This window comes from Homo sapiens, chromosome 6 (genome assembly GCF_000001405.40).
Source record: "Homo sapiens chromosome 6, GRCh38.p14 Primary Assembly".
NCBI classification, from domain to species: domain Eukaryota; kingdom Metazoa; phylum Chordata; class Mammalia; order Primates; family Hominidae; genus Homo; species Homo sapiens.
Window position 1 is genome coordinate 77,318,758 of NC_000006.12, and position 27,576 is coordinate 77,346,333.

The 27,576-nt window shown below is 34.9% G+C and overlaps 2 annotated features.

Annotated features, from left to right (window-relative positions):
• Positions 12,781 to 12,950: an enhancer, noted in NCBI's record as "experimental_95189 CRE fragment used in MPRA reporter constructs". NCBI's record gives its function as "activates a minimal promoter by MPRAs in K562 erythroleukemia cells, with activity observed for both the introgressed and non-introgressed 6:78041340 variant alleles {active_cell/tissue: K562}" and the evidence as "EXISTENCE:reporter gene assay evidence [ECO:0000049][PMID:34662402]".
• Positions 19,420 to 19,589: an enhancer, noted in NCBI's record as "experimental_95197 CRE fragment used in MPRA reporter constructs". NCBI's record gives its function as "activates a minimal promoter by MPRAs in K562 erythroleukemia cells, with activity observed for both the introgressed and non-introgressed 6:78047979 variant alleles {active_cell/tissue: K562}" and the evidence as "EXISTENCE:reporter gene assay evidence [ECO:0000049][PMID:34662402]".

Consider the following 27,576-nt stretch of genomic DNA (forward strand, 5'->3'; position numbering starts at 1 on the left):
CAAGTATGAGAAAGCTGAGAAAGAGAGGAGAACACTTGTGAACATTAGAATTGTGTAACTTAATGCTGAGGGGAAAAGACGTCCCACATGATTATACACAGCGTAAGCAGTATATTATAGTGTAAAATCCAGCAAAAAAATCAATAACATTGGTGTGTATTTAAAGATACGTTATGATAACAAAAGGTCAAAAACGCAAATAAGTGATCAACTCAAAATTAAGCATGCTAATTTGCTGTAGAAAGCAGTAATAGACTAATATAATGGAAGAGCACACAGGTACAATTAAACTAGTCGTGTTAATTCTTAGACTAAGCAATGTGTTTAAGAATGTTTATTAGAAAAGAAAATATTTGTGTTATGAGAATTATACAGTCAGAGATTATATATTACTTCTCCCACAAAATAAAACTTTAGGACAAGTTATATCTTTATATTACATGCTTACATTGCACATTACCTGTCCTCACTGTAATTTTAGAAGTTTTTATATATTTGTTGAATAATCATTGCTTCCATTACATGGAAAGCTCTATGAGAAAATGGCTATGTCTGTCTTTTTCTTCTTATCTTTCCAATGCCCATGATGATTTCTACATCATTATAGGTATTTTTAAAATATTTGAATAAGTGAACTTGAAAGCACAGAAAATAAAATGAAAAAATTGCTTAAATATCTCATACTTAAAACAACTCAATATAAAATATAGGTTACTTAATTTTAGATTCTTTGCTATTATTTTTTTTTCATTTGTATTACATAGTTATGATCACACATTTTCATTTTGCTTTTTTTACTTAACATGACAACGTAAGTCATTTCCATATTAATATAATCACTAATGTAATAATTTTATAGGACTTTATTTCTGAATGTTCCATTCAGAAATGTTTCTACAGTCAGCTTACCGATTTCTCTAGTAAATAGTAGAGATATAGTTTTGTCACTGTTGGGGTTACCATGATTAAAAAATATGAGAATAAACATCTTTGAGAGTTTTTATGACTGGTTTTTTATCTTAGGTGATATATTCATAATACAAATTCTGGTGAAATTTTAAGATAATTTTACAGATTTTTAATGATTATTGAAAAGTCAACATTTACCTCTGACTTTATTTAATAAAAATTCAACTGTGATCTGATAACTAGATTAATGGCCTGCTAAATTAACGGATTTAGGTATTTGTTATTGTTATTTAGTATTGGATGATATATTTTTTCCAGTAGTGGACACTGTAAATACTATAGAAAAATAAATTGTTAGAACTTAAGTATCTTTAGACAGAAAGCATGCCAGAGAAGAAAGAATCTTGATTCTTCTGGAGGGTAGTTTCGAAAAGCACAGCAGTTTCAGCTAGCCAAGCAATTCCCTTGAGGACAAATGTAGAGTATAACGGCAAGAAAGAGTTGTTCCAAGAATTCTTATGGAAGATGAAATTATAAAGATAACTGCAAGCTATATGAATTGCATTTACTGTTCTCCTAATTGAGAAGGGGCATTCAAAATCCAGGTATTAAGGACTCAGTAATATGTAATATGTGCATCCAGGAGTATCTCCATGAACTCCAAACCTCTCACTTTAGCCTAGTCCTGCTTATTTCCAGAAAAGATAACCAAATCAATTTTACTTAAATGCTAAATGAATGAAAAAAAACTTAGTGTGTAAGAGTAGCCATAAAATGCTATAAAATGCTTGACAAAGTGGGTTGCTTTCTTTTTAAAGATGCAAGAATGATGACACAGATTTTGAATGTTGGATAATCATTAGCTATCATTTTTGGAACTGACAGAAGAAGAATGGAGAAACAACTTTGCATACTTTTTCTGAGGCATATATGACCATATTGTACTTAAGTGACCAAATATCTTTGGTCCAACTGACTCATGATTTTCACTTTCCTATGACATGGATATAAATTTAGAAAAAAATATTCAGAATTGTTTTTTCACCTGAAACTAATTTTTAGATTTTTCAGAGGCCTCTGAAAAAAAAATACTGTTTTACCTTATGAAAAATGAATGCAAGAAATAATTAGTTATTTGGTAACTCCATATTTATTAATTAGCTCAGCACTATTAGAAGAGCTTTTTGGGAACAGTGGTCAAACCAGAAGAGAAACTTTGTCCTTTCTATGTTAATTTTGCACATTTAAAATATTACTAATATAAATATTTTAGAGACAGTAATGTACATAAAGGCCCTAGAGACTTGTCAATGTGCTTACTTTCCATAATACGTTCTTACCCTCAGAGAAAATGCTGATTAATTTCTTATAAAATGGTGAGATATTGTACCTCAGTAAAGAATATGACTTTCCTCCAGTCTGATATTGTTGGTTACTGTAATAAATTAATCACAACCATTTAGTCTTAAAAAGGGAAAATTATATTAAAATTTTTGAAATAAGATAATATTTATGTTTTTAATTATGAGAGTTAGAATATTTTACTTCACTTCACTATAAAGGGACATGCTAGAACAAAAACTAAATTTCCTTTTATAGGGACATAAAAACACAAGACACATTTACTGTGGCTTTGTGCTTGTCTATCATTACGGAAAGATAAAGTATGTGTTTAATGAAGAAACAGAAGATAACATTCATCTGGCACTTGTTTGTGTTTTCACTAACGTCTATTATTCTCAAAGGCCGTGAAGATATGGTCTAGGCTAGTTTTCAAAAAATAGGCAGCATATAATCAATTCTTCAGATTAAATCTTACTTCCAAGGTCAACATTTAAAATGGTTACCAATATTGTCCCTCTGGTTAAAGCTATTTTGTGACTCCTTGGCCTTGTACTCCTGGACTTATTTACCTCAATATTCCACAATTGCTAAGAACCAACCCCCACAAGCCTAGTATGAATTAGGCCCCAGCATGCACAGTCATTAGTAAGGACTGACTGAAATGGAAGTAGAATGTGAAAGAAGAGATCTTGCTGTCACACACCTCTGTAAAGATCCATATGAATGTCACCCATATGAATGACAACCTTCTCTCTCTTTTTAAGGGTATTTATTCAGAATACTCTTTCATGAAATAATGATCTCATAATTTGTATCTTTTACATCCTATACTCAATGGCTACTATTTAATTGCTATGCACCAAACTCTGGCTATGTGCTTTTTAAACATTATTGCTGAATAAGAAAGGTAGATAGTTCTATTTCCAATAGAAAATTCACAAGTTAGTGCTTAGAAAAGTTAAATCCCTTGTCTAAATTAAATATATATAATATATATGATAATTATATATAATATATAATAATTATCATATATTATGTGTGTGTGTGTGTGTGTGTGTGTGTGTGTGTGTGTGTGTGTGTGTATCTGGTAGCATATCCACTATGCAAACTTAGGTATCTTAGATATTTTTTTAAAATGTTATTTTCTTTATGACATTTTGCCTTCTAGTAAAATTTTAAGTGTAGAATAATTTTGGAAACATGCCTTGTCACCTTTAATCTTGAACAAACTGTCTTATCTAGTGCAAATACATTCAAAGGCAGCTTTTTCTTCATTTAAGCATTTGATCAATGTGATGAACATGTTTACAGTGTCTAAATGCTAAAGTATAATATAAACTTAATTTATGTCTTTATGAAAAGTGATATTTCTTTTTTCAATTCAGTATCACTAATGAAAGTCCCATTCAGTAGTTAATCATGGTCAAACAGCAAGTTCTAGAGGCCAGGAATGGAACCCTGTTAGAGATAATTGGTAAATCAACATTAACAAGTGACTGCTTTGCTGTTTGTCAACCCTGTCAAAACACTGAATAGAATTTTTTAAAATGTTTTCTGTGTATTATGACCGTTGAAAAGAAAGTTTGTATTTTCTTATGACCACATGAAGGAAAGTTTAAATTTTCTTAATCCCATTTGAAATCACTTTTAATAAATTATGTGATACCAGTAGTTGAACATAAATATCTCATTGCAGTGTATTCTAACTAACTCTTTGGAATTCAAACAAGTTTTTTGTAGTAGATGAAAAATAATATTGGTGTGAGGCATGTTTATTAAAACTTTGCTGATCTTGCAATAAATTTTGTCTTGCGTAGGATGTTTGTCTTCTTAGTGAAGCATAGAGAAGAGGACAACAGACATAATACAGTGAACACACTTGAAAAAGACCTTGCGATATCAGAAGCATGTGCTATAAATTTATTCTGTCTTTCCCCAAAGGGATTTGCAGCTATTTACAAGAGCACGAACACATGAGGAAATGGAAAAATCCTGATATTTCTTGGACTATTTGGGTTCTACTGTTTTTATCCTAATCTAACACTTGGGAATCCAGAACACTTTAGTAGACAGATCCAAGTGGTAGTTTATTGAAATTGGTAATAAGTGACTAATTAACTAACTCTTTTCATGTGGTCCAGTGAATCTTTGAACCAAACAAGTTGTCACCTTGATTCCCAAATTAAGACAAGAATAAATATAATCGGAACCTGAGACAGTATCCATAATAACTCTCTGTTCTCTGGTCTAAAAGATAATATGGATGGAAGAGCCAATAGGAAGATTCTGATCATCATTCTTCCTCTCAAAAAAGTAAAACATTTGTAAAATCTCACGGGTGAGTGAAATTAGTGCCACTGATAAAAGCAAGAGATATAGCAGTGTTAGTTGCAATCATATCATGATTTCACATGTCTATTGTTCCATGCAGAAGGTTGGTGGATCTTGGAGAATGAGTAAATTACCATAAATTCAATAAGTTAGTGATTCAAGTTACTGATATTATTTCACATTTTATTCATTATCACATTGTAATCATGTGGTGTCTTCTTGGGCATATCAACATAACTCCTAGCAAGTTATATGCAAGTATTAACCTTGAATATGTTTTCTTCCTCTATCCCAAAAGTTATCAAAATAATCAGGATTCATTTATTTAGTAAGGGTAGCACTGTATCTTTATTAAGTTGCTTGCATGGATCTGTGTCACTCAAGACATTTTAATCTTCAATCTTCTCACCAAGGCTGTACACTACTCTACTACCTTGATAATATCAGGTTCCCAAGATCTGATGAACAGAAAACAACAGGTCTGCCAGGTGGCTGGGAAAACACTATTTCTAGAGGATAGGAAATAAATAAATAAATATTATGAAAACACAGGAGCAGGATTCCTGAGTGAAACTCTGGAGAATTTAGAAGTCTACAAATATTGGGATATTCCTTTCAAAATGAAAGATAGTTTGCTTCACCTTGCACTCTATAGCACAAAGAATGAAAAATAACACATAGTACATTCTTTTGGATTTTTCCGGGAAAAATATAATTTATTTGTGTGTGTTGCTCTAATTCATTTACAGAGTAGCCCAAAATGATACCAGTATTGAGAGAAAAATAAAAAAGAAAAGATAGCCAAACTGATTTGGGCTTTATGCCAGTAGCCTCTCACTGAAACCTTATGACCTAAGGAATCCAATATTGTTCAAAGTGTCTGTGGCATACCTGGATAATATATGGCATTTGTGGTAAGCCCACACTCAGAGAATCACAGCAAAGTTTCTATGTTTTTAAAGTAAAGTCAGACCTTCACTGACAAGTAATTATTCTCCTTTAGAGAAATAATTATTGGCTTACTCCTGAGTCCTGGTAGAGACTGAATGCCTAATTATAAAACTCGGTAGGCAGGTAACCTGAGCTGCCTATCATGTCTGGATGTTATCAGATTGTATGAGCCTGAGAAATCAAGCATGTTCTTCAGCCCTAAATCATGAAGCAAAAATGTGAACAGAATCTGAAAGCACATGTATGTTACTTTAATAAATAACTAATGCCTCCACTGAATTTACACCTGACATAATTCTACCCCTCCCTCAATACATAACTGCAGAAGGAGGAGCATGCTGTAAACAAGAGCCAAAAGATTTCCTGAAGACCTTCCATAGTACGCTGGAAATAGGAAAAGAAGAGTTGTAGCGTTTCAGTCCGACTCACGAGTTGAATTATGTAGCATCTAATTCTTCTGGCAAAAGATAGAACGGCTGGATAAAACAAAGATAAAAATCTACATAAGTAGGGGGTGGACAATTGTTTGGACAGAGAAGAACTTGGAAAAAAACTGGTATGTTGGGATTGGTTACTAGGATGTTTTAGAAAGAAGTATATAGATGGAACTTTTGAAATGGATTCAGAGTGTGAGGATATTATGCAACATGTAAAATGTGAATGTTCACTAAAACTACTTGGGACTCTCAATTCTCTAGTGGTTCTCAGTTGGCCTCTCTTCCAAGCTTCCTTACTGCTTGGCCAATGAACTCCACAATCTTGCTGGCAGAGTCAGATGCTATGTGGCAACAAATACTTCCCTACTCCACAGCTTACTGGCTTTCGCCTCTGCTCAATATTTAAATTGCCAGAACCAGTGAAAGAGACCAAATCTAAATGTGTTAATCTCTGATGATCCAGCCAACCACAGATTTTGGATTAAAATATTGGGCCTCTTCCATCATGAAGGGGATAATAGTTTTTTCCAACTAGACTAGGCATTTACTCTGGATTAGGATTTTTCTTCCATTCCTGCCAGCAACTCCATCTCTGGGCTTACATAATGCTTTATTTATAATGTTGCTTCTGACCAAATTACTAATTTTATGTGGACACAACTGAGATAATGGCCTAAAAATCATAGAATTTACTGTCTTACCATGTACCTTATCCCACAGAATCACGTGGCCTTACGGAGAGTTGAAATTGTCTGAAAACCGAATGGAAGTAAGACCATAGGTAACATCTAATAAATTAGACTGCTATCCAATGTGAAGTGTGTGTATTCTCTGAATCAGGCCAGAGTGTGTGTTACAACTGTCACTCTCATACCTAATGAAACCTTCACAAGGTGTTTCCATTCTTCCATTTCTGGGTCCTGCTAGCCTGTATTAGGGCCTTGATGAGAAGTTTTAGAACACAAGGATAAGCTACTCCATCAGAAGACCCTACAATGGTCTCGCTGAATTGGAGTCTCAAATTGCCATTTGTCCATTTCAAGTTCTTCATACTGCAGGTCAAAGATGCAAAATAGAAGGTATCGATCTTGATTATCAAGGAGAAACAGGTTTGCTGGGGATACGGTTGTAGTATATTTAGACCCCAAGGTCTTATCTTGGGTGCCTCCTAGTCTGACACATACAGGAGTAAAATTTATTGGAAGACTCCGGAAACCTCAGAGACTGCAGAAACATCACACAGGTAGGACCACCAATAAATTCTATTCTTCAGAAATCATAGTTGGATTTACTTCATCATGGAAAAAGCCTCAACTGCCTGCAGTGTTGGCTGATGAAGGAAAATAAAATATTAAATGATTAATGGAGAATGAAAGCATAAATATCAGAAGTAGCCTTCTGACAACAGCAGAAAAATAATGTCTTAATTCGGGTTCTCTAGAAAGTATAGCTTAAGGCACAGTTTATATAGTAATGTTTTAGGGATGAGTGTTCAATTCCAGGAAAGCAATAGTGAAAGGAAAAAAAAAGAAATGACTCAGAAAGAAGGAGAAGCAAAAAAAGAGTAGTGCATTTTATACTTTCCGAGTTTCTTAAAAGAACCCAGTGATTTCTAGGTCAAGGGAGTTTTTAGAGAAACCATATAAAACCATTACCTCTAGGAATGGTCCGTTATAGGCAGGAAGGGGATGCAATGAATCTACTGGATACTTCACACTCTCTTTCACTGGTCAAAGTTCAACCAATGGGTAGATAAGAGCCCCTCTCTTCCAGCTTGTGTTAATCAGCCCCTCTTACTAACTTTGGAAAAGTCAGAGATTTAGTGGTTTTATTTGTAATGAACCTGGGCACTGGGGCCGATAGACTATGTGGGGCCTGGCAAAAGCCCAGACCTTGAACTGAAGGAGGCTGACACTATCTGTAATGTTAGGAGGTGAAGTGAAGTCCATAATAGACAGGGCTTAGTGACTGTTGGGAGCTATTCTATCCTAATGTAAGGTAAGTCCTTGTATTAAATGGTTCTCACGCTGCTGATAAAGACATAACCAAGACTGGGAACTTTACAAAGAAAAAGAGGTTTAATGGACTCACAGTTCCACGTGGCTGAAGAGGCCTCACAATCATGGAGGGAGGTGAAAGGCACATCTTAGGTGGCAACAGGCAAGAAAGAATGAGATCCAACTGGACGGGGTTTCCCTTATATAACCACCAAATCTCATGAGACTTATTTACTACCATGAGAACAGAATGGGGGAAACTGCCCCCATGATTCAATTATCTCCCACTGCTTTCTCCCACAACCTGAGGGAATTATGGGAGCTACAATCCAAGATGAGATTTGGGTGGGGACACAGCCAAACTGTATCAGTCCTGAAGGCCTAGAGTACAGGTAGGTCCTCAGAATGTACTAGCACATAGACTTGATTGTGAACTCATGAGCTGTGGTATCTACTCATATCTGTACCCTTTCAGTGTCACGATCTGATTTAAGTGATTTTAACTTGTTTATATTTGTTCCCTTTCTCTGTTCCTTTCTTCTTAGATGCAGGGTATGTAGGTAGTGGCTAGTTTTAACAGTTTTTAGTTCATAGTTTAGAGAATATCCAAAAGCAATAACTAGAGGAGGAATAAAAACAATATGAGAATTTGACCTTGAAGAAGATGGCATTAACTGTTGAAATTTTTGTTAACAACATTTGGAGACAAAGAAAAGCAAAATTGTACTTGTATAAGTGATATTTGCATTGTTTTAGCTACATGCATATTGTTGTAATTGTTATTGTTTGGAAGTTTGAGGTTGGAAGAAGGAGTCTTTTGAATTGGAACAGATGAAGCATTGGCTCATATTTCCCAATATCTTGTGAGCTTTACATATATTAATTTTAAGGATGACATGGTATTTGCATTTATTTTATAAATAGATATAACAACTTCAGACATTTCAAATTAATTTTTCACTTTGTCAAAACTACAAATACACACATGCATGCACATACACACATACATATATATAGTTAACAAAAAACTCACTCAAGAATGTCATAAAGTATAGCAAAACTAAGATATGCTGAACAATACAATCAGCTAAACCTTTGTTTACATTGGAATTTAAATTGCATATTTTGGAGTATACCCAAACTTGAAAACAGAGAAAATTACAGATTATGCCAAAATAACCACATTTAAAGAAATTTTGGAATTTTTAATAAGTGAATCTCACTAAAAGAGAAATATAATTAGAATTTTATGTAAAGAGATCCTAGTTTGTATCCTCTCCAACTTCCTTGATAGAAATCTTGAACTTTATTTTTGCTTAAATAAAATATTAATTCATAGTATTTTCAACTTTCAGAAAGATTGGAGGTGGCAAACTGTCTTTTAATATGTTAAAAGAGGAAAACTGGTCATTTAAATATGATTTTTATCTACCAGAAATTTATATTTTTTTCTATCCACAGCCAAATGTCATTTCAAAATCATTCCAATTTCTTGTCAGAAAGCCACTGGACCAACTAGAGCACTTCAGCCAAGTGGCAGAAAAATATTGCTCATAACAGGTGCACTGTATTCTCTAACCATCCTGTGATAGGCCAAATCATTTTCTGCAAAGTTAATGCCATATTGGAAAGAGAATAATAGCCACAAGCATAAAAACAAGCAATATCATATAACATTTTCTGATTATAAAAGTAATATATTAATGTAGAAAATTCCCAAAGTTGAGATAATTTTAACAAGAAAATAATATAGTTTATTATATTATTCACAGCTAATGTATGATACTCTAATAAGGTAAACTTCTGGTTACATGTAAATATAAATATGTATGTATACATTTTTGAGATAATAGATAATTTTGAGGATTATATTTGATGTGTATAAATGTATATAAAATTTTTGCATTATAGTGTTTATCCTTCCTTACTGTTTTAAAGACTATGATCTATAATATGTACCTCACATTTCATGTGGATACACTATAATTTTCTGATTGAACATTTTATTGCTTATCTGTATTATGACAAATAATATAGGATAAAGATCCTGTTATATTATTTTCTTTCTTTTTTATTTTTTTATTTTTAGGATAAGATTCAAATGCTCAGAAAAGATATGAACAATTTTACATTTTTGATAACTGGATATTGTATTTCTTACCTGAAAGGTTCTAGTAGTTTACATTTCTAAGAGCAGGGTACTATATTTTCAGTTTCAGTGCAACTACACCAAAACTATAATTTTTCTTTTTAATTTAAAAAAATACAAACTATGTTTAATTTATATGTTTGTATAATAGTAATTTTAAAATCAAAGTTTAGCAATTTTTACTTTTCCCTTATGAATTGCCTTTCACAATCTCTATCTGGATTTTCATAATTTTCTTATTAATTTGTAATAACAGTTCCTTATGTATTAAATATACTAAGTATATATAACACAATTTTTTCTAGATTTTTAGTTTCTTAAAATAATTTGTATTACATCTTAAAGAGAACATTTCCAAGTTTGAACTAGATTTACCTATCAATTTTTATTTATTTATTTTCTTACCCAGTAAGCTGAGAAAGTTAGCTAAAAAATTAATCATACTTATCTCTACTTTCTTATGGTTTTACCTTCTGCTCTTAAGTATTTTATCCATCTGGACTATATTTTGGTGCTCAGGTAATTTTTTAAAAAATAAATAATTACTCCAGCTCCATGTATTGATGAATCCTTCTTTATAAATATTAGTTTTATGTATAAATAAAGAATATTTTAAGGCTTTCTGGCCTATTCCAATACTTTGTCTATTTGTTCAGAAACATCACATCATTTTAGTTATTTTTTCCTCTATAAAAATATGTAACTGTCTAAAAGAAACACAAATCTCCTTTTTAGTTTTTCAGAATTGTCTTGTCCCCTCTATCCATGTATTTTCTCAGATAATTTGTAAAAGTCCCTTGTCCAAGTTCATATTTTTACTGAATGGTCCATTCTATTGAATTCTACTGAAATCCCATTGAAATGTTTCTGCAAATAGTCAAGCTCACTTTGATGAGTTTATAATATTTTGTAACTTTTTAGTCATTCGCCTTTCAAATTTAGCACATACTATGTATATATAAGGTGTTATATGTATATAGCTTTACATTGTGTATATATGTATATATATGTGTGTATGTATTTTTGGATTACATATAAGAATATGTGTGTGTATGTGTGTATAAAAGAAATATATGTAAAAGAATATATATGTATGTATGTGTGTAACTATCAGTCTACTTCCCATTCTTGCATTAAAATATTTTTAGCATCTATGGATGTAAAATTTTTAACTATCCATTTTGTGGACAGTAAAGAAGTTTTTCTCTAATAAAATACTGATATTTTGCATTATAATTCATTCTGAAGTATGCAGTTGGATTTCATTTTATTTGCATATTTTTCTTTAATTTTTATAAAAGATTATCTCTAGTTTTGTTTTTGTTTCAAGCTCTCAAATCTACTTTATAATGGTAAAAATATTTTCTACATCTTTCTATCATTTTATACTCTAGATGAGTTTACATATTATAAGAAGTATCTTTCACATCAATTTTTGTTTGTTTTTAACTCACTGAAAAAATCTGGTTCCTGCATTATTTCTGGTAGTAATTTTGTTATAGCTTTTTTTTCTCTATCTCTGTTTTCTATGCTTGTTGGTTAACTCATCTTTTGGGTAATTTTTAAAAATTTTACTTAATAGGAAATCTTTCTTTTGACCTTGTATAAATATTTTGAAACATATTTTGTTGTGTATGTTTTAAATTTATTCTACTTTGTAATATTCTCTGATATGTTTAACTTCACTTGTTTCTCAATGATTTAATGATTCAAATACAAAATACAAAACAAAACAACAGTCCACTAATTTACTAAGAATGTCCCTCAAAAGCATATTTCTACAAAATCTCATCACAGTATTTCAGATTAGAGTCCATAGAATATTTGGATTACATCTTGCTATGGCTGCTTTTGATTTTTTAAACACACGCTTTTGCTTTTCTTTCAGACCATTTATTTTGAAAAGACAACTTTGCTTCTTATGTACCTTTCATAACATGCTATTGTCTTTTTAAAAATTGTCTTAAATCACTCACAAAGGAAATTTCACTCTTTGGAATGACATTATTTCACTTTTAAAGTAATAGCAGCATATAGATTTTCATTTGGAAGTTTTTGGTATTTACGAAGAAATAGATTAGGAGAACAATAACAACTACAAAATCTTTGCTAACTGCCATCTAAATAAGAAGGAAGGCAAGGACAAAACGCTATTGACCCATTCCTGATTAAAGCAAAAATGTGAGGACAAAAAATCTATTTTAAGGCAACCAAAGAATATGGAAAGCGACTTCTATGATTCACCTGTCAAAGGTGAATACCCTTGTTTCTGAAGACAAGCCAGCTGAGAGATTATAAATGCTTTGTAGTTTCTTTCTGCAAGCATTGGAACAGAAAAATCTAATTGTTAACAAAAAGCACACTGAGATTTTACACTTCCTTGAGTCAGCTTTTGCCGATTTCTGCTGTTGCATATTTTCTTACCAATAAAATAGTACCACTGTTGCATAAATTGCTTATTCTGCTTACCATGGAAATTTTCTATTAATCTGTAAACATGATAAAACTATATTATAAAATAGTTTTTAGGGGTCTATTTTTTAAAAGGTTTCCCCAAGTTTTATATGATGAACTCTTGCAACCCTATTCTATAGTTTTACAAAGAAATTTTTTTATTCATATACAATCCTCATATTCTCCTGTTTGGGTAAGAACTTGTTTCACATGCATTAAGAAAAGTCAATGTTGGATGGCTTTTTAGATGTTTAAATAATATCCCAATGTGAATAACAGTCTATATTCTACTGCATGGCCTTTTTGTTTATTCAAGATTTTAGATTATGATTATTGTGTGGATTATATTAAACTAGAAAAAAGAAGATAGGACAGGGTAAGGCAATGAATATTTCTGTTCCACTTAAGAGGGCTTTTAATTAATCATAGAAACTTACTGAAAATACTCCATTGTTTTCCAATATTTTGAGTACCAAAGAAACTGACATCTTGACACTTGCGAGTTTAAAAGAAAATATCAAAGAAAATTTTATTTGGTTGTTTTCCTGCATTTAACCAATAAAAGAAACTGGGAAAGTGAAAAAAATGAAAGAAAACTAAATATTCTATTTATTCTTCCTTCATATTATAATAAATTAATGTCAAACTTTCTTATGTGTTTAGAAACATACCATGCCACATACATATATCATTTATAATCAACCTGAGACTGTTTTGAGAGTGAAAAAGAATACTTTAATAATTGTTCTAGGAAAGCAGGCTAAAACAGGACTCTCCCAGGCAAACTAGAAAGCATAGCTAAAATACTATTATGGCTTGTCTTTAAGACATTAATTTACTTCTATTTTCATGAAATATTAAAATATAATTTTTCTTCTAGTAGTTTCATATCTTAGATTTCTCTTTAATTCATTTTGGTTTGATTTTTGTATATGAAGAAAGATAGGGACCTTGTTTTATTCTTCTGCAGGTGGATATCCAGTTTCCCAGCACCAATTATTGAAGAGATTGTCCTTTCTCTAATGTATATTTTTGGTGCCTTTAACACAAATGAGTTGACTGTAAATGCAGGGATTTATTTCTGGGTTCTCTATTCTGTTCCATTGGTCTACGGGTCTGTTTCAATGCCAGTACCATGCTGCCTTGGTTACTATAGGTTTGTAGTGTAACTTGAATACAGGCAATGTGAATACTCTAACTTTATTCTTTTTCTTGATTTTTAATTTTTGTGGGTATATAATGGGTGTATATATTTATAAGGTAAATGAGATATTTTAATACAAGCATGCATTGCATAATATAAAGTCATGTAAAACAGGGTATCCTTCCACTTAAGAATTTATTCTTTGTGTTATAAACAATCCAATTATATTCTTTTAGTTATTTTAGAATGTATAGTTAAATTATTATTGACTAGAGCCACCCTTTTGTGATATCAAATAATACTAGGTCCTACTGATTCTTTTTTTTCTGTACCAGTTAACAATCCCATCTCCTTCCCACTTTCCCATTACCCTTCCCAGCCTCTGGTAACCATTCTTCTACTCTCTATGTTCACGAATTCAACTGTTTCGATTTTTGAATCCCGCAAGTAAGTGAGAACATGCGATGTTCGTCTTTCTGTGCCTAGCTCATTTCATTTAACATAATGACCTCCAGTTCTGATGGCAGTGGTGGCCCATCTGGAGTGGCTGCTGCAAGGACTCCAGTTGCAGTGGGGGAGGTACCGCCTGGGCTGCACGCTCCGCAGAGCCAGCAGGGGCTGGGAATAGGTGATCCCAGTGGGAGCCCCACACTCTACCGAGTTGGCGGAGCAGGAGAACATGCTCTTGGGCACAGCTGTAAGTGCCCAGGCACATCTCCAGACCCAGGCATTCCTGCACTCTCGGGGGTCTGAGAAGCCGCTTGCCCCTGCAGGCTTGTAAGTGCCTGCTCCTGCTATCTGGCCTCTCTCAACTCCCAGCATCCAAACTGGTGTGAAACAAAGTTGCGGCACCCAATCAGGTGTGGAGCAAAGCTGTGGTCGAGACCGGGCACTGCTGTGACATAGCCAGGTGTAAGTGCACTCAGGGCAGTGCTGACACACTAGCCCCCTACCGCTCTGCCCCCCTCTGAACTTTGGGTGCCAAGGAGTGGAGAATGGAAGCAAGGGGTGCTGGGGGTGGCTTGGCATGTGCTTGACGGTACCCTTTGGTGCAGACAAGCCTGGGCATCATGGATGGCATGTTGATGGTGGTGGGAGGCAGAAAGATTCCTAGGCAGGAAGGGGTGGGTCCCTGGTGAAACCCAACCTTTAATCCAGGGATGGCCTGAAGCTTGGAGGCCAGCCTGCCAGTTTCGTGTGGAGTCGGGACTGGAGCCAGAACTTCACTGATGCCTTTAGGCCAATCAGATGGTGCTTTTTCCAGGCCCGCCTATGGCTGCCCATGAATCAACCAGCACACACTTCCTCCATTCTGAGCACATAAAGAGACCACATTCAGCCAGATTTAGACCCTTTGGGATGACCTGCCTAAGGAAAGGAGCTACCCACTTCAGGTCTCCTGAGAACTGTTCTGTTGCTCAATAAAGCACCTCTCCACCTTGCTCACCCACCAATTGTCTGCATAACCTCATTCTTCTTGGACATGGGACAACTTGAGACCTGCTGAATGGCGGGAGTGGAAGGAGTTGTAACATGTACCAGGCCGGCTCATTGAGCTGCAGGCAGTGACACACTCCCAGACTGTGGGAGTGAAGAGTGGCAACCCTTCCAGGGGCCCAGACCTCAGGGTTCCCTGAGCAAAAGCTGCTATAATACTATAGCCCTCCTGCCCTCCCCTGGTGCCTGAGAAGCAGTGACAGGGCTGGGCCAGCCCAGGAGCCACAGGTTGGAGTTGGGTGGTGGGATTAAAAGAGCTATAACAAAAATGGGCTGAAACACGCCCCCCTGAAACATGCCCTTCAGCTCACTGTGCTCCAGGCAGCAAGAAGGAGAGAAGAGCTTTGGCCCTTCTGGGGTTCCAGACCTTGGGGCTTCCCAAGCCTGGGCTGTGACATACTGTAACACTGTCTTTGGGGGTCTACCATCCTGGAGTCTTCGAGCTTTGGGGCATGAGCAAACCCAAGCAGAGGTGCCGCCAGCCACAGAAGTTTCTGGCTGGTGAAGCCATACCCTAAGGATCCTGTGACAGTTCCATTCATGTTATTGTGAAACAGGATCTCATTCTTTTTTATGGCTGAATAATAATCCATTGTGTATAGGTACCACATTTGCTTTATCCATTCATCTGTTGGTGGACTCAGCTTGCTTCCAAATCTTGGCTATTGTGAACAGTGCTGCAAAAAACATGTGAATGCAGGTATCTTTTTAAGGTACTGTTTTCCTTCATTTTGGGGATATATATATGCAGCAGTGGGATTGCTGGATCACATGGTGGCTCTACTTTTAAGTTTTTGAGGGAAATTCACACTGATCTCCATAATGGTTTTAATAATTCATATTCTCACCAACAGTGTACAAGGATTCTCATTTTTCCACTTGCCCATTTTGCTTTGGTTGCCTGTGCTTATGGGATATTACTCAAGAAATCTTTGCCCAGTACAATGCACTGAAGTTTCCCCAAAGTTTTCTTGTAGTAGTTTCATAGCTTGAGGTCTTAGATTTATGTCTTTAACCCATTTTGATTTTATTTTTGTATATTGTGAGAGACAGACATCTAGTTTCATTTTTCTCCACATGGATATACAGTGTTCCCAGGATCATTTACTGAGGAGATTGTTTTTTCCCCAGTATATACTGTTGGCACCTCAGTCAAAAATTAGTTCATTGTCAGTATGCAGATTTGTTTCTGGGTTCTCTATTTTGTTCCATTGGTTTATGTGTCTGTTTTTATGTCACTACTGTGCTGCTTTGGTTACTATAGCTCTGTAATATAATTTGAAGTCAAGTAATGTGATTCTTCCAGTTTCGTTCTCTTTGCTCAGGATAGCTTTTGATACTCTGAGTCTTTTGTGGTTCCATATAAATTTTAGGATTACTTTTTCTATTTCACTGAAGAATGTCATTGGCATATTGATAGGGATTGCATTGAATTTATAGATTGCTTTGGGTACTATGGACATTTTAACAATATTGATTCTTCCAAATTATGAACATAAAATATATTTCCAATCTTTTGTGTTGTCTTGTTTCTTTCATCATTGTTTTATAGTTTTAGTTGTAGAAATCTTTCAATATTTGGTTAACTCCTAGGTATTTAATTTTATTTATGACTATTGTAAATGGGGATACTTTTTAATGTCTTTTTCAGATTGTTCAATGTTGATATATAGAAATGAAACTAATTTTTGTGTGTTGATTTTGTATCTGGCAACATTACAGAATTTGTTTATCAGTTCTAATAGTTTTTTATGGAGTCTTAACGGCTTTTTAACATAGATTATATCATTTCCAAACACGGATAATTTGACTTCTTCCTTTTCAATTTGGATGTCCTGTCTTTCTCTTGTCAGTTTGCTCCAGCTAAGTCTTCCATTATTATGTTGAATATTGAGTTTTGAATGTGGGCATCTTTGTTGTGTTTTGAATCTTAAAGGAAAGGCTATCAGTGTTCTCCTTCAGAATGCTACTACTGTGGGTCTGTCATACGTGGCATTTTTATGTTAAGATAAATTCCTTCTACACTCATTTTTTGAGGGTTTGTATCATGAAGAAATGTTGAATTTTACCAAGTGCTTTTTCAGCATCAATTGAAATGATTATGTGGTTTTTGTCCTTTATTTTGTTCATATGATATATCACACTGATAGATTTGCATATATTGAACCATCCTGGCATCCCTGGGATAAATCACCCTTGGATCTGATAAACAATCTTTTTAATGCATTGTTGAATTTGTTTTGCTAGTATTTTTTTAGTACTTTTGCATTAGTATGCATCAGAGATATTGGCCTATAGTTTTCTTTTTTTTAATGTGTCTTTATCTGGTTTTGGTATCATAGTAATGCTGGCCTTGTAGAATGAGTTTCCAAGTATTCCCTCCTTCTCTATTTTTAGGAATAGTCTGAGTAGGATTGGCATTAGTTCTTCAAATGTTTGGTAGAATTCAGTAGTGAAGCCATTGGGTCCTGACCTTTTTATTTCCTGGGAGAAATTTTATCACAGAATAAATCTCATTACTTGTTATTGGTCTGTTCAGGTTTTGGATTTCCTCATTGTTTAATCTTGGTAGGTTGTATGTTTCCATGAATTTATTTCTTCTAGGCCTTTCAATTTATTGGTATATAGTTACTCATAGTAGCCCATAATGATCCTTTGAATTTCTCAGAATCAGTTGTAATGTCTCATTTTTAATATCTGATTTTATTTACTTGAGTCTTTTCACTTTTTATTAGTCTAGATAAAGATTTGTCAGTTTTGATTGTTTTTTCAGAAAATAACTTTTTGTTTTGTTGATCTTGTATAGTGTTTTCTTCACTTCATTTCCATGTATTTCTGCTCTGGTCTTTATTATCTCTTTTTTTTTACTAATTTTGGGTTTGGATTGCTCTTTCATTTTTAGTTTCTTAAGATGCATCATTAGATTATTTATTGGAAGTTTTTATTCTTTTTTATTTATATTATAATATTTATATTATTTATTTATAACTAATAGTTATAAATTTGCCTCTTAGGACTTTTCCCCTGTATCTCATAGGTTTTGAAATGATATGTTTGCATTATAATTTGTTTCAATAAATTTTTAAATTTTCTTCTTAATTTTTTTTGTTGACACACTTGTCATTCACAAACATATTGTTTAATTTTCATGTTTGTATAGTTTCCCAAATTCCTTTTGTTGTTGATTTCTAGTTTTATTCCATTGTGGTCAAAGAAGATGCTTGATATTATTTCAATTTTTTGAAAGTTTTAAGATTTGTTTTTTGACTGAACATATGGTCTATCCTTGAGAGTAATTATGTGCTGATGAAAAGAAACTGTAAGTCTGTATACAGCTATAAAGTCCATTTCTTTTATAGTGAAGATTAAGTCTGATGTTTCTTTGTTGATTTTCTGTGTGGAAAATCTGTCCAATTCTGAAAGTGAGGTGTTGAAGGCTCCAACTATTATTGTATTGATTTTGTGAAAGGAAAATATCTTGGGGCCCCAAAATCACTAAGCTAAAGGGAAAAGTCAAGCTGGGAACTGCTTAGGGCAGATCTGCCTCTCATTCTATTCAAAGTCTCCCTTTTGCTCACTGAGATAAATGCATATCTGGCTGCCTTTGGAGAGGCTAATCAGAAACTCAAAAGAATGCAAACATTTGTCTCTGTTCTACCTACAACCTGTAAGCCCCCTCCTGCTTCCAGTTGTCTTGCCTTTCCAGACTGAACCAATGATCATCTTACATGTTTACTGATGTCTCATTTCCTCCTAAAATGTATAAAACTAAGTTCTGTTCTGAACATGTTGGGTACATGTCATCAGGACCTCCTGACACTGTGTCATGGGCATGTGTGCCCTCAACCTTGGAAAAATAAATTTTCTAAATTAATTGTGACCTGTCTCAAATTCTTGGGGCTCATAAGATTTCTCTCTTTTTAACTCTAATAATATTATATTTATCTGAGTGCTCCAGTGTTGGGTGCATATATATTAATAATTTTTGTATCCTCTTGCTCAATTGACCCCTTTATCACTATATGGTGAATTTCTTTGTCTCTTCTTACAAATTTGTCTTGAAATTTATTTTGTCTGATATTAATATAGCTACTCTTGCTTTTCTTTTGTTTCCATTGACATGAACTATCTTTTTTTTTTGAGACTGAGTTTCACTCTGTTGCCCAGGCTGGAGTGCAGTGGTGCGATCTGGGCTCACTGCAAGCTCCACCTCCCAGGGCATGAACTATCTTTTTACATCCCTTTAATTTTATTCTATGTGTATCTTTTTAGGTGCAGTGTGTTTTTGTAGGCAACAAATCACTGGGTCTTGTTTTTTTATCCACTCCATGTCTTCTGATTGGAGAGTTCAGTCCAATTAAACTCAGTGTTATTACTGATAAGTAAGGAGTTACTCCTGCCATTCTGTTACTTGTTTTCTGGTTGTTTTGCGGCCTTTTTTTCTTTCCTTCCTCCATGTCTTCCTTTAAGAAAAGGTAATTTTTCTCTCGTGGCATGATTTAATTTCTTCATTTCTATTTTTTTATATCCATGGTATGTTTTTTGATTTGTGGTTATCATTAGGCTTGCAAATAATATCTTATGACTCATTATTTTAAACTGATAATTTAACACTGATTGCATAAACAAATATATGAAAATAATAGTAATAAGAACTCCACACTTTAACTTTGTCCCCCCTTTTTAATTTTTATTGATTTTCTTTAGCTTTATTGTATTGTGTCTAAAAAAGTTGTTGTAGTTATTATTTTTTATGGATTTATCATTTAGTCTTTCTGCCTAAGAGTAGTTTACATATAACAATTACAATGTTATAATATTCTATGGTTTTCTGTGTGCTTACTACTACCAGTGAGTTTTGTAGCTTCTGATGATTTCTTCTTACCCATTAGCAACCTTTTCTTTCATACTGAAGAACTCCCATTAGCATTTCTTTTAGTACAAGTCTCCTGTTAATGAAAGCCCTCGACTTTTGTCTTCTGGGAAAGTCTTTATTTCTCCTTTATGGTTGAAGGATATTTTCATCAGATATGCTATTCTAGGGTAAACATTGTTTTCTTTCAGCACTTTATGTCATGCCACTCTCTCCTGGTCTGCAGGGTTGCCACTTAAAAGTCTGCTGCCAGACATATTGGAGCTCCATTGCAGGTTGTTTCATTTTTCTTGATATTTTTAGGATCCTTTCTTTATCCTTGATCTTCAGGAGTTTTATTATTAAACACCATCAGATAGCCTTCTTTTGGTTAAATCTGCTTGATGTTCTATAACCTTCTTGTACTTGCATACTGATATTGTTGTCTAGTTTTGGGAGGTTCTTTGTTACTATCCCTTTAAATAAACTTTCTACACCAATCTCTTTCTCTACCTCCTCTTAAAGGCCAGTAACTCTTAGATTTGCCTTTTTGAGGCTATTTTCTAGATCTCAGAGGTGTATTTTATCATTTTTTTCTTTTGTCTCCTTTATCTGTGTATTTTCAGATGCCCCGTCTTCAAGCTCACTAACTCTTTCTTCTGCTTGATTAATGCTGCTATTAAAGAACTGTCATGCATTCTTTAGTATGCCAATTGCATTTGAAATGCCAGAATTTCTGCTTGATTTTGTAAAATTATTCCAATCTCTTTGTTAAATTTATCAGATAAAATCCTGAAGTTCTTATCTGTGTTATCTTTAATTTCTTCGAGTTTCCTCAAGACATCTATTTTTACTTCTCTCTGTGAAAGGTCACATATCTCTGTTTCCTTGACATTGGTCCCTTGTGCCTTATTTAGCTCATCTGGTGAGGTCATGTTTTCCTGGATGATCTTAATGCTTGTGGATGCTCATATGTCCAGGCATTAAAGAGTTTGGTATTTATTGTAGTCTTCACAGTCTGGGCTGTTTTGTGTCTTTTCTTCTTGAGAAGGCTTCCCAGGCATTCAAAGGGACTTGGGCCCCAAGCTCAGTAACAGTGTGGCTTTTGCAGACTCATGGAGGAACAGCCTTCTTGGTGTTGGATAAGACCCAGAAGAATTCTCTTGATTATTAGGAAGAAATTATTTTTCTTTTCCATTACTTTCTCCCAAACAAACAGTCTCTCTTTCTGTGCTGAGCTGCCTCCAACTGGTGGTGTCATGATGCAAGCGCCCCTGTGGCCACCACCAATAGGATTAAGCTGATTCAGAACTGAAGCCAGCACAGCACTAGGTGTCACACAAGGCTCGCTGTAACCACTACCTAACTACTACTTATGTTCACTCAAGGCCCTAGAGCTCTATGATTAGCAGGTAATGAAGCCAGCTATGTTTGTGTTCTCCCCTTCAGGGCAGCAAGCTTCCTCTGGCCCCAGTCAAGTCCAGAGATGATGACTGGCAGCCAAGGATTAGAATCAAAAACCTTAGAAATTTACCTGATATTCTACGTTACTGTGGCTAAACTGGCATTCAAACCACAATACAAGGTCCTTCTTGCCCTTCCCTTCCCTTTCCACAGGCAGAGGAACCTCTCCCTGTGGCCACCACGACCAGCAGCCCATGGGAGCTTCTGCCATGACACTGCCGAGGTTCTTCAGTCAGCTCGTGGTGAATGCCACCAGGCCTGTGATTCACCCTTCAGGGAAGTGAAATCCCCTCTGGTCCAGGGCAGGTCCAGAAGTACTCTCTAAGAGGCTATGCCTGGACTCAGGGACACCAAGAGCCTGCCTGTTGCTCTACCCCACTGTGGCTTAGCTGGTACCTAAGGTTCAAGACAAAGTCCCCTTTACCTCTGCAATTGTCAAATAGGAGTCTTTCACAATCACCACAGTTGGGAATGTGATGGGTCATACCTGAAATAAGCATGTCTCAGAGTCCAAGGTCTATGGTGTACTAGGTCTATGACGTCCAAGACCTATGGTGTATAGTCCAAGGTCTATGGTGTATCCCTTAAAGTTTATTTAAAGGGATAATAACAAAGAACTTCCCAAAACTAGACAGCAATATCAATATCGAAGTACAAGAAGGTTATAGAACATCAAGCAGATTTAACCAAAAGAAGGCTATCTGATGGTGTTTAATAATAAAACTCCTGAAGATCAAGGATAAAGAAAGGATCCTAAAAATAGCAAGAAAAAAGAAACAACCTGCAAGGGAGCTCCAATATGTCTGGCAGCAGACTTTTAAGCGGCAACCTTACAGACCAGGAGAGAGTGGCATGACATAAAGTGCTGAAAGAAAACAATGTTTACCCTATCTGGTATTGCTGCTGGTTATTCAGGGCCCAAGGGCTCTTTAATCAGCAGGCGATGAATCCTGCCAGAACTATTCATAGTTCCTGTCCTTCAAGGTAGCAGATACCCTTTTGGCTTTTGGCCCAGGGTATATCTAGAAATGTTGTCCATGAGCCAGACCCTGGAATGGGGGCCTCACGACCCTGCCCAGTGCCCTTATCCTACTGTGTCTGAGCTAGTATCAAAGATACATACAAAGTCCTCTTTACTGTTCACTCTCCTCTCCTTAAACAGAAGGAAGAAGTCACTTTCTTTGCTGTTAGCTGCACTGCATGCAGTAAGGGGTGAAATGGCACAAGCACTCCCTTAACCATGTCAGCTTGTTATCTCCCTAGGTCACATGCCAGCCTAGTTCACTGGCTCTGAGCCCAGCTCAGTACTAAAAGTTGCCTAGGAATTACAGTCCTAGTGTTCTATACTGCCTTTCAAGTTTACATAGGACCCAAGAGCACTTTGGCGTGCAGTGGCAAGGCTTGCTGAGAAACTCAAGTTTTGACCACTGGGATGGGCACTTCCCCTCTGGCTAGGTCTGGTCCTAATGCTCCCTCCCTGTGTGGGCACTGGCTAAGCCCAGAGCAGCTTTCCTCTCTGCTATGACAAGGAAGCACTAAGTCCAATGTAAAGTCTCCCAGTTGCTATGCTTTCCCTCTCCCAAGTGCACAAACTCTCCATGCCACATGGCTGCTGCCAGGAGATGGGGAAGTAGTGGCAATTGAAAACTGTCTACCCTGTCCTAAATACCCCTTTTAGAGATTTTCAGTTAAAACTAGATACTGTGATTTTTTTTTACCTGATTTTTGGTTATTGCAATGGTGCTTTTCTATGTGCAGATAGTTGTTAAAATCTGGTGTTCCTGCAGGGTGATAAATGATGTAGGCTTCCATTCCACCATCCTGCTGCAACCTCCCAGCTTTATTCGTTTTGCTTAGGATCGTTTTGGCTATTCTGGGTCTTTTTTTGGTTTCATGTAAATTTTATTATTTTCTATTTCTGTGAAGAATGTAATTGGTATTTTGATAGGCATTGCATTGAATACATAGATTGCTTTAGGAAATATAAACATTTTAACAATATTCATTCTTCCAATCCATGATCATGGGATGTCTTTCCAATTTTGTGTCCTTTTCAATTTCTTTCATCAATATTTTATTGTTTTCATTGTAGAGATTTTATTTTACTTTTTTGGTTCAGTTTATTCTTTGGTATTTTATTTTATTTGTAACTATTGTAAATGGGATTGCTTTCTTGATTTCTTTTTCAGATTGTTCACTGTTGGCATATAGAAATATTACTAATTTTGTATGGTTTTTTTTATTCTGCAACTTTACTGAACTTATCACTTCTAACTCTTTTTTTTGCAGATTCTTTAGGTTTTTCTAAATATAAGATTATGTCATGGACAGACAAGAATAATTTGACTTGTTCCTTTCCAATTTGAATGTGTTTTATTTATTTATTTTGTCTAATTGTTCTAGCTAAGATTTCCAATACTATGTTGAACAAAAGTAGTAAAAGTGAGTGTCTGTCTTAGAGGAAAGGCTGTCTGACCATTTTACCCAATTAAGTATGATACTAGCTGTGGGCTTGTTGTGTATGGATTTTATCGTGTTGGGGTATGTTCCTTTTCTACTCTGTTTTTTGAGAGTTTTTATCACAAAGGGATGTTGAATTTTATCAAAATAGATTTTGCAACATCTATTAAAACGATCACATGGATTTTGTCCTTGAATCTCTTGATGAAACTACTAAATGAAAACATTAGAGAAGCACTCTGGAAAAACGGTCTAGGCAACAATTTCTTGAATAAGACTTCAAAAGCACAGGCAACAGAAGCAAAATTAGAAGTATGGGATCACATCAACCTAAAAAACTTCTGTGAGCAAAGAGAACAATCAGCCAAGTGAAGAGACAACCCATGGAATGAGATAAAATATTTACCAACTACCCAATTGACAATGGATTAAAAGTCAAAATATATACAGATGTCAAACAACTCAATAGGGAAAAACAAATAATCTGATTTTTAAAATGGGCAAAAGATATGAATAGACACTTCTCAAAAGAAGACATACAAATGACAAACAGGCATATGAAAAGGTGCTCAACATCACTGGTCATCGGAGAAATGCAAATCAAAACCACAAATGAGACATCATCCCATCCTAGTTATAATGGCTTTTATCGAAAAGATAGTCAAGGGGCCAGGGAAGATGTTGCATCTTGTGTTATGGTGGCTATGCTTTGACCTATGCAGCCTCTTGGAGCAGGCAGACGCCCTGAGCCCTGTGGGTCCTCCAGAGCAGAGTTGGACATACGAAGTGCTGCGCATGCAGAACCTGGTGTTGATAGGAAGCAATTTTAGCATCCTCCTTGTAACAGCCATCCTTATGGCATTTTAGGTCTATAAGTCCATTCAGCATCAGTAACAGCCAAGCAAATAAGTTCTTCCATAATCATTTGGGAATAGGTTAAGTTATGTTGCACAAGTGCCAGTGCAGAAGCTGGATAAAGAGCTTTCCTATTGGAAATGACTTTTGGTCTGAACAGTTGGTAAATGCTAAACCCTGAATTATTTAGAAAAAAAAATCCACTAGCAATTATTTTTTCCTAACACTGTAATGCAAATATTAGGTTGATGCAAAAGTAATTGCAATTTTTGCCATTAAAAACAATGATAGAAACACAATTACTTTTGCATCACCTTAATAATTTACCACTGAGTCGGCTTCTTGGTATTTCTTTTCCAACTGTACTTGTTAAAAGTAAGACCTGAAGTTTCCAAAGTTCATTGTTAAAGATGGAGTGCTTACAAGAAAGAAAACATGGTTAGCTTGTGAGTATCTGTAAGAATCACACTGGAAAGAACTAATTATTAATGCTTGAAAATACTAATAAAAGGGAGACTTACAGTGTAGACATTCTGTATTTAAGAGCTATTTGGTCATAGCGGGCTAAGAATCACAAATGGTTGTGTGTGTGTGTGTGTGTGTGTGTGCGCGCGCACGCGTGTGTATTCCATCTGGGTTGGCCTAGAATTCTCTGGTTGAAAAGTGGTGTCAGCTGTGGGGAGCTTGGGCCATCAATCAATCCTCATCTGTATCTGGTCCTGCACTCAGGTCTCTCCTTGAAGTCAGGGTCACATCAGGTAGACGACCTGTTACTATGTGCACCCTTGGCTTGGAAGACCCTAGGTATGCATTGGAAATGTTACTAGTCGGCCCATCACAAAAAGGGCTCCAACCTGCTCAGACACATTAATCTCCTTTTGCTGCACTTAAGTGTTTCCAGCCTGTGGTCTGCAACCTGAGGCAGATTTTCTCATATTTGGAATCTAAGAGAGGGCCAGCAGGATCTCCTTTCAGCCCTACATCGGGAGGGCCCAAGGAACAGAAGGACATGTTCACTGTATGAGCCAATGTGTGTTTACACAAATTTCATCTCAGCTTTGAAAATGCTGTTATTAGTTTGTACCCTTGGTGATCTGTGTCCCCCTATTGAAATGATACTTTCATAAAGTGGTTATTGATATTTATTTTAACATGCTAGATTCAATTTTATTTGTTATTAAATTGACGTGTTTATCTTGTGCTTCATTCAAGCACTGATTTTTTTAATCAGGTATTTAATGTGAAATAATTGATGTAGAATACTGTAACTGTTTAAGAATTTTGTAATCTTGTAACATTAAACCATTGAAATAGTTACCGTTCTGTGCTTTTGGGCAAAATGTCAATTAAAACTAAAGTAAAATCCTACAGGAAAAAAAAAGGCAATAATGGATGCTGGTGAAGATGTGGAAAAAAAGGAACCTTCATGCACTGTTGGTGGGAATGTAAATTAATAAAGCCACTGTGGAGAACAGCATGTAGTTTTCTCAAAAAAAAAAACTAAAAATAGAACTACCATGGATCGACCACTGGGTATGTATCCAAAAGAAAGAAAATCAGTATTATCAAAGAGATGTCTGCACTCTCAAATATATTGCAGCACTATTAACAGTAGCCAGGATAATGGAATCAACATAAGTGTCCATCATTAGATGAATGGATAAAGAAAATGTAGTACATATACACAATGGAATATTATCCAACCATAAAACAGAATGAAATCCTGTCATTCATGGCAACATGAATGAACCTGGAGGATATTATGTTAAGTGAAATAAACCATGCACAGATAGACAAATATCACATGTTCTCACTCCCATGTGGGAGTTAAAATGTAATTTAATTCACAGAAATAGAAAGTAGAATGATGGTTACCAGAGGCTGGGAAGAGTAGTGGGGAGGGGAGGAAAGGGGGATGATTAATGGGTACAAAAATACAGTTAGATGGAATGAATAAGATCTAGTGTTTAGTAGCACATGAGGTGATGATAGCTAACAATAACTTACTGTATATTTTGAAATAACTAAGAGTGGAATTAGAATTTTGCTAATAAAAAGAAATGATAAATACTTAAGGTGATGAATATTGCAATTATCCTGATTTTTATCATTACATATTATATACTTGGGTCAAAATATTACAGGTGCCCTATAAATATGTCTAAGTATTATGTATTCACAGTAATTGAAAGTTTTAAAAAGAGTTTTGAGTTATGCTCTAATTTATGCAAAATATCTGGTCTTATGAAAATGGAATGTAATTTTGCAATTAGATCGATGTAGAAATACCATAAATGTATGTTTTATTTTTATTGATACATAATAATTGTATATATTTATGGGATACGTGTGATGTTTTGATATATGCATACAATGTGTAATGACCAAATCAGCATAATTGAGATACCCATCAACTCAAACATCTGTCATTTAATTCTGCTGAAAATATCATCTTCAATTGGTAGAAACATTAAATACATTAGTTTGAAGTTTTAATAAACATTCCCTTATTTAATGAGATTTAAATAAGAAATTATACAAAAAGAACACATTTTAAAAACTTTTCAGAATATGCTTTTGTAATCAGGCCTGAAGTACCTATTATGAACACTGTAATTTTTAATGTTGAATTTTCATAAAGTTGTGCACATCTACAGTGCATTTTTTAAACAGACTTTTAAAATTGATTATGTATAAATGTTTTATCATGCAGTCACTGCCAAATAAAATGT